The following is a 15598-nucleotide window of genomic DNA, read 5'->3' as shown; positions in this document are numbered from 1 at the left end:
TCCCAGAGTGGTAGAAATTGAAATCAAAGGATTCTATACCATTGGTGAGGATTCACAAGAGAACATGGTCATTATAATGACACTATGATGTCTTGATGGGATACTTCAGCCATTCCTTTAAGCTTACCTCCAGTCTCAACTTCAATCCTCTTAATCCTAGAAGCATTTCCCAACTACTATCCTCCCACCAATGTCCCAGTTTTCTTAAAATCATATAGAGCAGAACACTTTCTGGAAACCCATAAGAGATAGATTGTTACCCTATAGCTGCAAAAATTATTGTAATTTCTTACAGCCTGTTTTGGTAGACAGTATGGCCAATACTGTCTTGGTTTAAATAAGATGATGCAAATCAGATACAGAATGATTCTGCTTTTGGAAATGCCTAGCACACAGGAAAGATGTTTGTGCAGTGAGGTACTATAAGAATTTTTATTAATGACAGCTTTGCAATTAAATGTACATTCACTAAATATGGAAACAAGTGAGAACTAACAATAAAAAGGAGTTCCAAGAAAATTGTCACGGCATGAACTGAATGGACTCATACTGGGCCAGCACTTTCGGTCTTGGCATGAACAGCTTCATCATTCCAGAACTTTCTTGATTTCCAAGGTTTGTCTGAAAAACAAAACAAGAAGACTTTGTAGAAAATGATTCATGGATCCACTAATATGGGCAAATATGTCACTGTCTCAGCCCATTCCAGAACCCCATGGTTATTCCACATTAGGTGGATCCTGACTGCACACTGAGTGAAAGCCAAGACCCTCACTCAGGTCTCCCAACTCTAACCCTCTGCTCCAGCTTCCCCTAAGTTTTCTGACGTTTTCAACAGGTTTTGCTGATTCCTTGTTCTGCATTGTTATTAAATCTTGCTTCTGCCTCCCTTAAGAATCTTCACCCTCACTTCTCCACAAATTTATGTTCTCAACTTTCTTTAAGATCTAATGGAAAATAGGTTTCAAAAAGCACTCCTCTACCTTCCCTGTCACAATTTTACAATTCATTCTTTACTTACTGCCACTAACACTTACAGAAATAACATAAAATAACTATTACTCTTGCTTACATCTTATGGGAAATTGCTCCTCAATTTTTGCATATGTGTGTATATTTTGACTGTCCAGTAATTTCTTTGAATGCAAAGTCAGTGCATTATTTTATTAAAAATCACAGTGCCAAGGATAGCCTGGAAGCAGGATAGAGATTCCTCTCATGCTGATCATGACCTGCCAACCAATTTGTGTCTTGACTGCTCCATTCTCAAGCTGACTTCCAAGATCACACATCATTCTCAGTCCACAAACAAGCCTTGATATCACCTTTCTTTAAAAGGTCTCTCCCCAGATTCTACATCATTTCCAACTGCTGCTCTTTTTTTCTGCTCTCTTTATATTACATCACAATGAGTCCAAAGAATTGTGTAAATTCTCTCTTTATTTGCTCACTGCACATTCTCTATCCCCACCTCCATCCACTTCATTCAAGATTTTGAAGACTACTCTGCTTAAGGTTTCCTACGGCTTCCATCTGGCCAAATACAGTGTTGAACTCTCATACTCCATCTTCTTAAAACTCTCATCACTGAGCATTAGAGACATGCAAATCAAAACCACAATGAGATACCATCTCACGCCAGTCAGAATGGCGATTATTAAAAAGTCAAGAAACAACAGATGCTGGCAAGGCTGTGGAGAAACAGGAATGCTTTTACACTGTTGGTGGGAATGTAAATCAGTTCAACCATTGTGGAAGACAGTGTGGCAATTCCTCCAAGAACTAGAACCAGAGATACCATTTGACCCAGCAATCCCATTACTGAGTATATACCCAAAGGAATAGAAATTATTCTATTATAAAGATACATGCATGCGTATGTTCACTGCAGCACTATTCACAATAGCAAAGACATGGAATCAACCCAAATGCCCATCAGTGATAGACTGGATAAAGAAAGTGTGGTACATATACACCATGGAATATTATGAAGCCATATAAAGGAACGAGATCATGTCCCTTGCAGGGACATGGATGGAGCTGGACGCCATCATCCTCAGCAAACTAATACAGGAACAGGAAACCAAACACCATATGTTCTCACTTACAAGTGGCAGCTAAACAATGAGAATACATGGATGCAGGGAGGGGAACAACACACACTGGGGTCTGTCAGCGAGGGGCTGAAACGAGGGAGAGCATCAGGATAAATAGCTAATGCATGCTGGGCTTAATCCCTAGGTGATGGGTTGATAGGTGTAGCAAACCACCATGGCACACGTTTACCTATGTAACAAACCCGCACTTCCTGCACATGTATCCCAGAACGTAAAATTTAATTTAATTTAATTTAAAAAACAAAAACTCTCATCAGGCCAGGCACGGTGGAACATACCTGTAATCCTAGCTGCTCAGGAGGCTGAGACATGAGAATTTCTTGAACTGGGAGGTGGAGGCTGCAGTGATCCGTGATTGAACCACTGCACTCCAGCCTAGGTGACAGAAAGAGACTGTCTCAAAACAAAAACAAAAGCAAAAACAAAAGCAAAACAAAACATAACTCTCATCAGTATTTGACATTTGACTTTCAGAGGACCATACTCTGTAGACTGCTCTCCCACCTTGTCAGTCGCATTGACTGGCATCTCCTCTTCTTCCTGACCTCTAAGCCCTCTTGTAGTCTTGACTGCAATATGTAAGCCATTTGTCTGAGCTTCTTTCAGGTCCCAGTCCCAACTTGTCTTTTTTTTTTTTTTTTTCAGATGGAGTTTTGTTCTTTTTGCCCAGGCTGGAGTGCAATGGCACGATCTCGGCTCACTGCAACCTCCGCCTCCCGGGTTCAAGTCATTCTCCTGCCTCAGCCTCCCAAGTAACAGGGATTATAGGTGTATGCCACCATGACTGCCTAATTTTGTATTTTTAGTAGAGACGGGGTTTCACCATTTTGGTCAGGCTGATCTTGAACTCCTGATCTCCAGTAATCCACCCGCCTCAGGCTCCCAAAGTGCTGGGATTACAGGTGTGAGCCACCGTGCACGGCCTTCAGTCCTTTTAACCCTAGAAGTGCTTCCTAATTTCCCCAATGTCCAAGTTTTTCCCGAAGCATATGGAGCTCAGTTCTAAGACCTTTCTCTATCTACACTTACTCCTTAGGTAATACTCTCCACTTGCATGCCTTTAATTACCATTTATGTTCTAATGGCTCCCCAATTTATATTTCCATCCTTGACCTTTCCCATGATTCCTGGACTTGTGTATTCTACTTCCTACTTGACACTTCTGCTTGGATGTCCGATAGACACACAGATTTATGACATAACAATACAAATATTTTATTATCTGTCCCTTAGCCTACAAGATTCTATTGCTCTCCTCTGTCCTGTGTTATATGCTTTCTTTTGCAATGCCAGCTGAAAGGCTGGAAACTTTATCTGTCAGATTCTTCTGCCTTTCAGTTTCTGGTTGCAGCTATATTCTGCTAATGAGGTGCACTAGTGAGAGATTTCAAAGATGAAAGAGCACAGAACATACTCTTCTTCCCCATGCATCAATGTAGGACACGAAAGCTTTGGCAGACAAGAGTTTTTGCGGTGGCTTCTGGGTGATCCATTCCAGTTACTCTTCTCAGTGCTGTAGGGCAGCACTAGTTTTCCTTTACTTTCCTCATCTGAGTGGTAGCAACAACTTCTGAATTCACTGGCCCAAGCAGTGACAGCAGAACTAAATACTACCGGGCACCTTCTCTAACTTGTGTTTCCTCAGCTAATCCAATGCTTTTGAAAGCACTCGATTCCCTTTATTAAACCACTTCATACTTAATACACCTGGAGTGGTTCCTTTTTTCCTGCATGAGTCCTCACTGATACAGCACCTCATCTCCTCAGTTAACACCACCACCATTTACCCAGTCGCTAAAAACAGAAACCTAGCAGTTATCCTTGACTCCTTCTTTCCCTTTACGTCCCACATAAACACAGCGAAAAGTCAGGCTGGATTTTTCTCCAAAATATGTACTGAATCCCATTATTCTACACTACCCCTGCTATAACTACTCTAGTGAAATGCACGGTCTTCTCTCTCCTAAACAGTTTCAGTCATCTACTAACCAGCTTCCACTCTGGTCTCATGACAGTCTGTTATCAATATGTTAGTCAGAGTAATCTTTTTAATATGCAAATAAGTTGCATCATTCTCCAACTCAAAACCATTCAATAGATTACCATCTCAATTCTGATAAGATCCAAACCCCTTACTTTAGCTGACAAGGTCTTGAAACTCCAACCTTTGCCTACCTGAATGGGCTCCGTCCTTCAACCATTACCCTGTTCCAGCTGCACTGGCCAAGTTAATTGTTTGTTTCCACCCACTGTGTATTTAATATTTTCTGTGCCTCCATTGCTTTTTCTCTATTCCTCCCCATGGCTTGTTCTCCCACTGCATTCAGATCTCAAAAATCACCTCCTCAGATCGACCTTTCCAGACCACCCCATCACTTTCACTGCCCCTTCCCCTGCTTTTATTTTTCTTCATAATACATCCCATTATCAAAAATTTTATTTCTTCTTTATTAATTTTTTGAGGGGTTATCTACATTCTCCACTAAAATGTTAGCTTCAAGAGGACTTGGTCAGCTAGTTGGCTGCTGCATCCTATTACCTAGGAACTATGTGCACCTGGCACATAGCGGGAATTCTATAAAAGTGCTTAAATACATATCAGTTGGATTTCTTGCCCCTCTAATCAGAGAGCTTGGATTTTCCAGGAGGAACTGTTGGCTGATTTTCTCAGGATGTCCCCTCCCTTGACCAGCCACAATGATAATATCCTGGGGAAATCAAAAGGAAAGCTTGAGAACCCCGCAGGAGCACCTGTCAAGGGCTGAAACAGGATGGCACAAAGGCTCCTGAAAATGTGGCACGGTTAGCTCACAACTCCTCATGCCAATAATGGCGCACAAGGCACAGAGAAACCAAAGTGATGGAGTGGGATTGATTTTTGGTAAAGTGGTTTATTTTTGATTTTTGAAAGCCCAAGATAATTTGTGATGCAGACATGTCTCCAAAATGTGGTTGGGCTTAGGCTGATGAAAACTTGAGTTACATGCCTCCTAGTCAGAAAATAGGTGAACAAGAAGGTAGCAGAGTATTAGAAAACCTGGCTGAGTTCACTCATCTTCTGTGAATAACTCACAAAATTGATTATTCCAAGGTAGACAAATGAGAGTTGTATGCACAAATGTGCTTTGGCTGAATGTGAAAGTTTTAGAAGGATTAATTACTTAGTTAATCACACATTTTCTAAGTCATTTTCTCTTCCTCCTCTTCCTCCATCTCCTTTCTTCCTTATTCACTTCCATGATTCTTTATTCCTGGAAGCATGTTTTATGCATTATCTCATTTAATCCTTATAACAAACCTCTGAGCTATGGTCTCTGTTTTACAGAAGAGAAACCCAACCCTTCAAGAGTCATCTAGAGGGAATGTGGCACACCTCGACTTCACTCCCTGGTTTCTCCAACTGTAACTCTGCTGCTTCCCCACTTTATGTATCTCTTGGGTTAACTTTTCTTTTCATCACTTATGGATGGTCACTTGTCCCTACTCTTTAAATCCTTTTGTCAACAACAACAAAAGATTCTTAAAGATTTTGAAAGTGCAAAGGAACCTAGAAACAGGATCCAGTGTCATTCTTTCATTTTACAACTCAGGAGACTGAGGCTTAGAGGGGAACAATTGTTTGTTGAAAGTCACATACTGAGTAAGTACTGAGCTATGTCTCCTGACTCCTAATACAGCATTCCTTCTTCCTATCAATAGTCAAGTACTTTTCCTCTGCATAATTGATTTCATACTATTCAAATTTCATATGAAGATGCACTAATGAGAAATGGCTTAAAATTAAAACTTGGGTTGCATTAAATATCATATTTACAAATAATAAAGGCCATCCTCCTCCCACTATCACACGATTATCCCACACACCTTTCAACCAATGCTGAATATTCAGTATTCATAAGATGCACATTCTTACACTGGGTAGCTTGTATGCATCAAGAGTTGGGTGCCTAGACATTCTTTAAGGCTCCTCACTGAGTTTTCAGACTTTTTTCACATTTATAAATGGCAATGGTGAAAGAGCGATTATCTCTATGCTCTAGGAATCTCACAGGTATAGCACATGGGATTATCTATTTATAAAAAGTTCTCCAAGATCCATCTTATGAATCCAATAGATAACACTTGCCATGAATCCAACAGACTGCCCTTAAATGCTTAGCATGAATCTTATTCAGTACAAAAATTCCAAATTTCAAGGTTATCAAGGGCACAGATCACTCACCTATAATATACCTAGACTCTTATTGGGTATTCAGCTAAAAACAAGGAAAATTCATTTAAAATGTCCCTGAAGTTCATTATCTGTGTGCATAGGTTTTTAAAACTTATTTATAATACTCATTATGTTTCCATATATAACATTCTTAAATTGATAGACACAGTCCACATATTCCCAGAAGGGGTCCACATAATGGATCAACCCCCTTGCTCAGTGAATATACATCATGTATCAAAATCAAGGTTGCCACTACACATGTAATATAATGGACAAATGAAAAGTTAATGGAGAACAGAAAGCAACGGAAAATTACAAGTTAAGAAAGAAAATGATCTAAAGGCCAGTGAAACTTCTTTGGTTGCCAATTTTCTGCCTTGGTGGAATTATTTCCGAGGGGCCTAAATTAGCAAGGGTGATTTCAGAGGCATTGAGCAAAAAGTTCAGAATGAAATGCGCGAGACGTGAGCTCCAAAAGCTAGTAAATACTGATACATTTGCATTTTAACTATTTCCCCCACCCCCAACCACCGAAGGTGTAATTCCTTCTATAAAGAAGCTCCTTGATAACAGCCCAAGATACTAAATGCTATCTGCTTGGGCACTGGAGGACACAGCTCAGGGCTTTAACTACTGGAGGAGGGGAACCATGTTTTCTCTGTTAAACAGGACAGAGAAGATGCTTTTTGATAGAAGCATCAATCTAATATTCAAAGAAATTATTTTCCCTGAGCAAGAAAACAAGGTGAAGCTAGCCACATAATACATATTAATAATAGTAACTGGGGAAATTATTCATTCTATTTGCCAAGGATTTCATTTCTCCCTCCTTCAGGCACATAGCAGAATTTTTTTTTTTTACTTGCTTCTTTTAAGGCTCCACTCAACTACTTAAGCATTTCTAGCCAAGTTCTCAGCAGACTGATGTTTCATCACTGCAGACAAACCAGGTCTATTCTAAGTGGGACAAGCATTTACTGAGTGCCAGATAATTTGTTAAGCGCTTTACTTGCATTAAGTCATTACTTTTCACAATAATCCTATGTGGTGAGTATTCTTATTTTGCCATTTTACAGATGAGGGAATTGAGGCCTAGAGTAAGTAAGTGGTTTACCCAAGGTCACAAAGCTACCAAGTGATAGAGCTCGGATTTGAACCTAGGGAGTCTGGATCCAGCACCTAGACTCTCGACTACTCCAAAGATGAGAAGCCGTTTTGCCTGTGCAAGAAAGAAGAATGAAGCTGTCTGTCTGGGGTTAAAGCATGTGTGCATATGATGGTCAAGGACTCAACCAGGAGCCAATAGTACCTTTTTTTATTTTAAAATGAACAGGAACTTTATTATAAGTTAACAGAGACTTTTACTCTATTCATAGAATTAAATTTGTCAGGATTCTCCAGAGAAATCAAATGCGCATGTGTGTGTGTGTGTGTGTGTGTGCGTGTGTGTGTGTATTTAAATAAATTTATTATAAAGAATTGGCTCATATGATTATTGAGGCTGGCAAGTCCAAGTCCCAGTGTGGACCAGCAGGCTGGAGACCAGGAGAGCCAATGGTGCAGATGAACTCTTGAAGGCAATTGCTGAAGAATTTCCTCTTGCTCGGGGAAGCTGGTCTTTTTGTTGTACTCAGGCCTTCAACTGATTAGATGAAGCCCATCCACATTATGAAGAGCAATGCACTTTACTTAGTGTATCAATTTAAACGTTAATTTCATCCCAAAATGTCTCCAAGTTGACACATAAAATCAACCATCCTGGAATAGGGGTTGATTCGACGGTTCAGAATACATGGCAAAGCCAACACCAGAGCTCAGATAGATCATCTGGCTCCCCAGTCAGCATGACCAAACACCACGCCAGTCCCCCACAGAGCCCTGAAAAACATCCACCACCCCCAAGGTAAAGAGCAGGGAAAGGATTAAGACTTTATGTTCTTCTAGCTCTGCTCTGCAGCCTGGCAAGGACTTAAAAGAACTTCCACTCCTTTTTGTCAATTCTTTTGTAAGTTGACACTACAACTAAAAGATTTTTTTATAGACAGCAATGTTCTCTTATTTACTGTTTAGAAGGTTGGTAACACAGGAAGCACAAAACAGCACCTAAAATTAGCTAAGGAATATGACTTTCCTAAGCAACATCACTTTTGTTGATAAGAACTTTAGCTTGACCCCTTCAATTAAGAAAGACTGGATCTGGCCCGTGATAAGGAAGAGGAGGCAGACTGCATTTGAGCCCATCCAAGGGTTGCATTTTAATTGCTTCTTTTATCCTGGGAGCTCCTGGCTTCTTCCTGAATGACTCCTCTTGTCTCCCCACCATCTGCCACACTTCCTGACATTACCAAAGCAGGAGTCAAACATTGTGCTTGGTAATACTGACAATAAACTCACTCAAATACATCATTTTGCTCAAGGCATTGTTTAAAGGCATTGCTTAAAGGCATTTGCTTAAAGGCACTGTTTCATCATCTGCACATATAAGATACTTGTACAAACATGAACTGGATAGAAAAAAACTCAGGATGCAGATTCCATATGTGCAGAAATTATATAAGCAGGATACTGTCAGAATTTAAAAGTTCAATAAGTTTATCCAAAGTCGATCGTTCTTTTCCTTAGGATTCCCCATCTCCACATGACTTGTGTGCCAATAGCTGCTATGTGGAGCACTTCCTAGGAGAATGGCACTGGCTTAATGCCTCCCCAATAGTGAGTGCTGGAGCCAGAAACTGAACCTCACACTACCTAGACCAGGAGTTAGCAATTTTTTTTTTGTTTTTTGGGGGTTTTTTTGGTAAAGAGTCAGAGAGTAAATATTTTAGATTTTGCAGGAAATACAGTCTCTGTCGCAACTACTCAACTCTGCTGTCATAGAACAAAACTGGTCTTTGAAAATAGGGACAACGAAGAAGCATGGCTATGTTTCAATAAAACTTTTGTGGACACTCACAGCTCGTACAAAACAAGCAGCTCACTGAGTTTGACCCATGAGCTGTAGTTTGCCAATCCCTGATCATGGTGATCACAGGTCACGGCTTGAGAAAGAACTGTAGAATGACACTAAGAATTAGGAGTGAAACCCAATTGCACTAACAGATTACTTCTGCTAGCCTTTCAGAAGATTTAACCATTAATTAAAGCTTGGGGAAAAAAGGCCAGATCTCCTGTTAAGTGAATTTAAGTATCAAGAGAACAAGTAGCAGATGTTGGGGTATGTATGTGGAACAAAGTGACTTTGACTTCGGCTCTAAAATTCTGTTTAAGGATATTTGTGCTAAGAGTAGAAAGGAAAGGAGTGATGGAAAGAATACTATCTTTCAGAATCTAAGTGTAGGAAGATGCCCTGGGAATGAGTCAATGTTCTTTTTTTTTTTTTTTTCCTTTTTCTGTTCTAGCCAGGTGGACACTGGAATGTCATCTTGCCTTTTCTTAAGAGAGTAGACCCCAGTGTCTATCGTTCCCTTCTTTGTGTCCCTGTGTACTTACTGTTTAGCTCCCACTTATAAGTGAGAGCATGAAGTATTTATTTAGTTTCTATTCCTGCATTAATTCACTTAGCATTATGACCTCCAACTCGATCTACGTTGCTGCAAAGGACATGATCTCATTTTGTAACAACTGTATAGTATTCCATGGTGTATATGTACCACATTTTCTTTATCCAGTCCACCGTTGAGAGTGGGAGGATGGTGAGGATTGAAAAACTATCTATCAGGTATTAGGCCGATCACCTGGGTGACAAAATTATCTGTACACAAAGCCCCCATGACACACAATTTACCCATGTAACAAACCTGTTACATGTGCCCTTTCAACCTAAAATAAGTTGAAAAGAAAATAAATAAATGAACAAATAAAAAGAAAGTAATGCAATCCATCCTATATATGAAGAAGAAAAATAGCATGACCCTATCAATAGAAAGGAAAGCACTTGAGAAAATCGAATACCCTTTCATGGTAAAAACCAGCTCAATAATACAGGAGAATTTCCTTAACTTGATAATGAATATTATTAAAAAATGTAGAGCTACCATCATAACCAACATGGTGAGAAACTAGAAATTACCCTGCTAACGTCGAGACCAAGGCAAGGATGTTCTCTATCAGCACCCCTTCTCAACATTTTACTGGGAGTCTTAATGCAGTAATATGAGAAAAGCGGATATATTGCTTGTGAAGAATGAAATAGGCTGCTCTTTTTCACAAATGACAGTGTTGTCTATGTAGAAAATCCAAAATAACCAAAAATAATTTCTGAAACTAGTGATTATAATAAGGTACAGGATATAAGGTTAACAAAATTAAACTGTTTTCCTATAAATTAAATTATAATTAAAAATGAATTTTAATTAAAAATAAATTGTTTTCCATTAAAATTAGCACTTTCTGAAATGAGATACTTATAAATCTAACAAAATAAGTACAAGACGAAAACAACAAAATTCTGATGAAAGAAATCAAACAGCTAAATAAATGGAGAAATATTTTATTTTTATTTCTATAAAGACTCAATATTGTCAAGATGCTACTTTTGTCCAAGTTGACCTATAGACTCAACACAATCCCAATCTAAACCCCAGGAAATTATTTTGTGGATTTTGATAAACTGCTTCTAAAGTTTATATGAGGATAAAAAGACTCAAAATAATCAATACAATATTAAAGAATAATAGAGTGAAAGGACTGATATTATTCACCTTCCATACTTATTACAATGCCATAATCATCAGGAGAGTGTTGTATTGGCAAAACAATAGGCAAATAGATCAAAGGAACAAAATACAGACCTCAGATATAGATCTACACAAATATAGTTAACTGATGATTTTTTACAAAGAATCAAAGGCAGTACAATGGAGAAAAGATAATCTGTTCAAGAAATGGTGCTGTAACAACTAAACATCCACATGCAGGAAAAAAAAAATGACTATAGGCCTAGCCCTTACACCCCTTTCAAAAATTAACTCATAATGGGTCACAGACCTAAATGTAAACACAAAACTATAAAACCCCTAGAAGAAGACAGGAGAAAATCTAATTCACCATGAATACAGTGGTAATATGCTGACCTTCATTGAAATTTAAAAACAAACAAAAAAGACCCAAAATTCTGTGAGAGACATTGTCAAGAGAATGAGAAGACAAGCCATGGACTGGAAGAAAAATATTTTCATAGTACATATCTGGAAAGAAATATTATTCAAGATATTCAAAGAATACTTGCAACTCAACAACAACAAAAAAATGAACAACCTATTAAAGAATGGGCAAAAGGCCTGAACAGACACTCTGTCAAAAAAGATATAAATATGGCAAATGAGCATATGAAAAAACTCTCAACATCATATGTCATCAGGAAACTGCAAGTCAAAGCAACAATGAGATGGCACTACACTTTTATTAGAACAGACAAGATATAAAACCCTGACAACACCAAATGCTGGTGAGGATGTGGGGCAGCAGGAACTCTCATTCATTGCTGGTGATTATGAAAAATATTACTAGCACTTCAGAAGACAATTTGGCTGTTACTTACAAAACTAAACAGATTCCTACCATACAATTCATCAAGGATACTTCTTGGTATTTTCACAAGCGAGTTGAAAACTTATATCCAATCAAAACCTTCTCAGGGACATGTAGAGCAGGTTTTTACATAATTTCCAAAACTCAGAAAGATGCCAATCTAAAAAGGCTCCATACTGTGTTGTTATAATGGTCTGGCATTCTGTAAAAGGGCACAACTATGGAAACAATGAAAAGAGGTTGGTGGGAGGGAGTGATTAATGGGAGGATCCCAGAGGATTTTCAGTGCAGTGAAACTGTTCTGCATGGCACTCTGTCATACAGGTATCTCTGTGGATACCTGTCATTACATATAGTCAAATCACATAAAATATATGGCACTGAGAGTGACCCTAACTTAGACTATGGGCTTTGGGTGATTATAAGTTGTCAGTGCGGATTCATCATTTGTAACAAATGTACCACTCTGGTGTGGACTGCTGACTAGGGTGATGCCATCATGTATGGAGACTGGGGGTGTGTGGAAACTTTCTGTACTTTCTTCTCAATTTTGCTGTGAACATAAACTGCTCTAAAAATAAAATATATTGAGAAACGAAAAAGAAAGAGAATCGAGCAATTTCAAGATACTGAAAGAGCTTGGAATCAGGTGTAGCTGCCTAAGGGTGAGCAGGTAGCAGCTTTACTTTCAGGGGAACGTCTAAGAAGACTGTCTGGCTCCCTGCTAGTAGCAAGGAGTCCACCCTTAGAAGGAGGGGGTAGGGAGAGACCTTTTGTTCTAGTGGTTGAGCTCTAAAGGCAGAGGCCCTCAGATCATGGCATCCTATTAGCTGAGTTTAGCTCCAAGTGAGTATCATTGGCCACTCTTAAAAAAACACAATGTCTTGGGAAAGAGCTTGGGTCAGCAGCTGCCCGGCAGTATCTTTCAGGTGGAAAGGACCAGCACTCAGCTCAAGCCATGTGGCAGCGAGCACCAACTGAAGCTTAGCTTTCATTGGGGAGACAGTTTGATTAAACCTGGGTCCATTTGGACCACATCAGCCCTCTAGGTTTGTGGACAATTTGAGGAGGAGAGAACATCAAAGGGGGGAGTACTGGACCTCCAAATAAGAGTGCCCTTAAAGGATAAACCCATTTTCATTGGGGGGAAAAATGAAAGAGATGGGATGTGTTTGCCCCTAAGGTTTTGGAAGACTTTTTCAGGTTGTATAAGGACTAAATGAGATTCTGGGTCTGGAGGCTCCATCACATGGCCTAACACTTTCAAAGGGTGAAAAACTGCTAATCTCCATGACCTCTTTACCCCACTTCCTCCAGGTATTCTCCTGCCCCTTGAGAGAGAGGAAGCCTCAGGGGCTGATGGAGACTCATTCATTGAGAACCTCTGGGTGTACAAAACCCAGCCACCCCAACTTTTTGTTCACAATACTCGTCCCTCTCCTCTCTTCCATTTCTACTTCTCAATGCTAGAGCTTAGTGCCCCTGCTTAGAACTCTAGAATCCTCCCCTCCAAGCCCAGATATCTTGGTGCCTTATGTCTTCAACCACCAAGACTCCCAGATTCCAAACAGAAATAAAAGAGCACTTGGAAGTCTGCTCCAGAACTCAGCCAAGAGAAGGTGGGCTGGGATCTGGGTACTGGTTGAAAGAGACCTCTAATGTGGAGCCCGAAGAACCCAGCTTGTCCTGTGTGCTGCAGGTGAGAGGCAACACTCAGTTCTCCAGGCAGCCTCCTCTGTGTTTTTGTTTATTTGCTGGGCCAGGGAGAAAGGACTGATGTTAGGTGTCATTGGCATGAATTCTACTTATTGACATTAGGAGACTAACAAAGAGAGGAGAGAAAATCAAAAGCAATAGGCATCTGAAACTTTTAAAAAATTACTTATCGTCTCTGCCTAATTACCAAGAAGTGTCATCTTGATTACTTACAATCACTAAGTGTCACATTTGCTTTCTGCTTCAAGTACCATTTACCCACAAGTCTACATCTTTGAGACATGTGGCTACAGCTCTGAAAAATGTGGCTGTCTCCCCAAGACACTTTGGCATCATCTTTTTATGATCACTCTTCAAGGACTCTTTGTCTTCTTTTAACAAAGGGGAGGACACTGGTCCTAAGAGGTGACTCTTTAGACCAGGCAGCAGTCCCTGTCCCTCTTGTCAGCCCAGGTCTTCCAGGTCAATGCATTAAGCATATCTTCTAATTCTGAAGCTTTGACATCTGGGGCCTTGCTGACCCTGGAGAGACTGCCCCTCCCAGGGATAGCCAATTTCTAAAGATAGTAAATTATTTGCCTACAAGGGTGTCTTCCAGATGCAAACCAACTAACCCAGAGCCCATGCCCCAAAGACCTTCTTTATCAGATTCTCACAAGCCTCCCCCACCATTCACCTGCCCAAATCATCCCATGGCCAGGTACCAGGCAATGAGAGACAGCCCCTGCAGCCCAGAGCCCTTTGGAATTATTAAACCAGACAATCCTAAGTCTGTCTATCCTGCCTCACCTGTTCCTTCTCACAGAAACTGTAATAAATGCTCTTGTCCATGTTTTCCTCCCAGCCCCTCTGCTTCCTGACCAATCCTGGCACTTCCCCAAAAGGCCCTGTATGGTGTGGCTGCCTCCTGCTCTTGGGAACTGTGAGTAATAAACCATCCTTTCAATGGCAGTCATCTCCTGATCTGCTGAACTCACTATGCCTGAATAATAATAAAACCTACAATTTAAAACAATCATATCCCCATAAATTCTGATCTTCATGCTCATGTGAAAGTGTGAAATCATGCAAACTTTCATGCATTTTCCAGCACAAGTGTGTAGAGAAATGAAATTGAGAGGGTAAAGCACTTGCTTTAGAGTCAGATTCTGGGGAATTAAATTTGACTTCTGCCTCCTGCTGCCTGGAGACGTGGGTGAGTTACTGAATCCTTCTTGCTTCATTTTTCTCATCTGCAAAATGGAGGATCAACAAGGACCTATCTCACAGGACTGGAAAAATACACCAAAAGTATCTGTCATGCTGTGAGTACTCAAAACTGTTGTTGTTGCTACATTATTATTCCTCAATATTTGGTTATTTGGAATTTTTTTTTAACCACTAGGCTAAATCTTATCTGAATGAAGATTGCCATTTTCTATCAATTCCTTCAAAGATTTGATTTGCATATGGCATTTGGACTTACATACCGTCATTAGAAGGGGCACAGAACTTATTAATCACTAAGACCTCAAAACCTTTGATTCGAACCTGACTTAGACCTAAAGCAGCGTTTTCCTAACTTGAGCACTGGAGCACCCCAAGAACACCTCTGCAGAACCTGGTTAGATAAATCCTACATTAAAAATTAAATATTGTCCGTTGAAATGATTGCTTCATGCTGACAGAATTACAAACCCTAATACAAATGGGGCCCCTATAACTATCATAGTATACATGGAGCTGTTACCCAAATAATCAATCACCTCAATATAAATGCACCTATGTAAAGGTAGATAGACTCTAAGTGAAGCCACAAGAGAAAAATCTTCTCAAAGAGAGATTCACATGGATCCCTAGAGAATACATTCATCAAGCAATTTGGATCAACTTACAGATTCCAAGAAATCTAAGGTAAAGCCATGTATTAGTCCATTCTCGCATTGCTATAAAGAACTAACAGGGACTAGGTAATTTATAAAGAAAAGAGGTTTAGTTGATTCACAGTTCCACAGGCTGTATAAGAAGCATGGCTGGGGAG

At 39.8% G+C, this 15598-nt stretch overlaps 1 long non-coding RNA gene across 5 annotated transcripts in view; it reads right to left on the bottom strand.

Moving 5' to 3' along the window:
* Positions 1 to 413: 413 nt before the first annotated feature.
* Positions 414 to 15598, bottom strand: part of DSCR8 (Down syndrome critical region 8) — a 35061-nt gene continuing 19876 nt past the window's right edge. For 2 of the 5 annotated variants that reach the window (NR_026838.1, NR_026841.1), the window contains exons 3-4: positions 2396 to 2492; positions 414 to 621 (exon numbers count right to left, since the gene is read on the bottom strand). This is a non-coding gene — a long non-coding RNA (Down syndrome critical region 8). Of the gene's footprint in view, positions 622 to 2395; positions 2511 to 15598 lie in introns of all 5 variants that reach the window. The other 3 variants (NR_026839.1, NR_026842.1, NR_026840.1) reach the window with 2 other exon arrangements.

The sequence above is a fragment of the Homo sapiens genome, chromosome 21 (assembly GCF_000001405.40).
Source record: "Homo sapiens chromosome 21, GRCh38.p14 Primary Assembly".
Lineage (NCBI taxonomy): Eukaryota > Metazoa > Chordata > Mammalia > Primates > Hominidae > Homo > Homo sapiens.
This window is presented reverse-complemented; position numbering and strand designations above follow the sequence as displayed.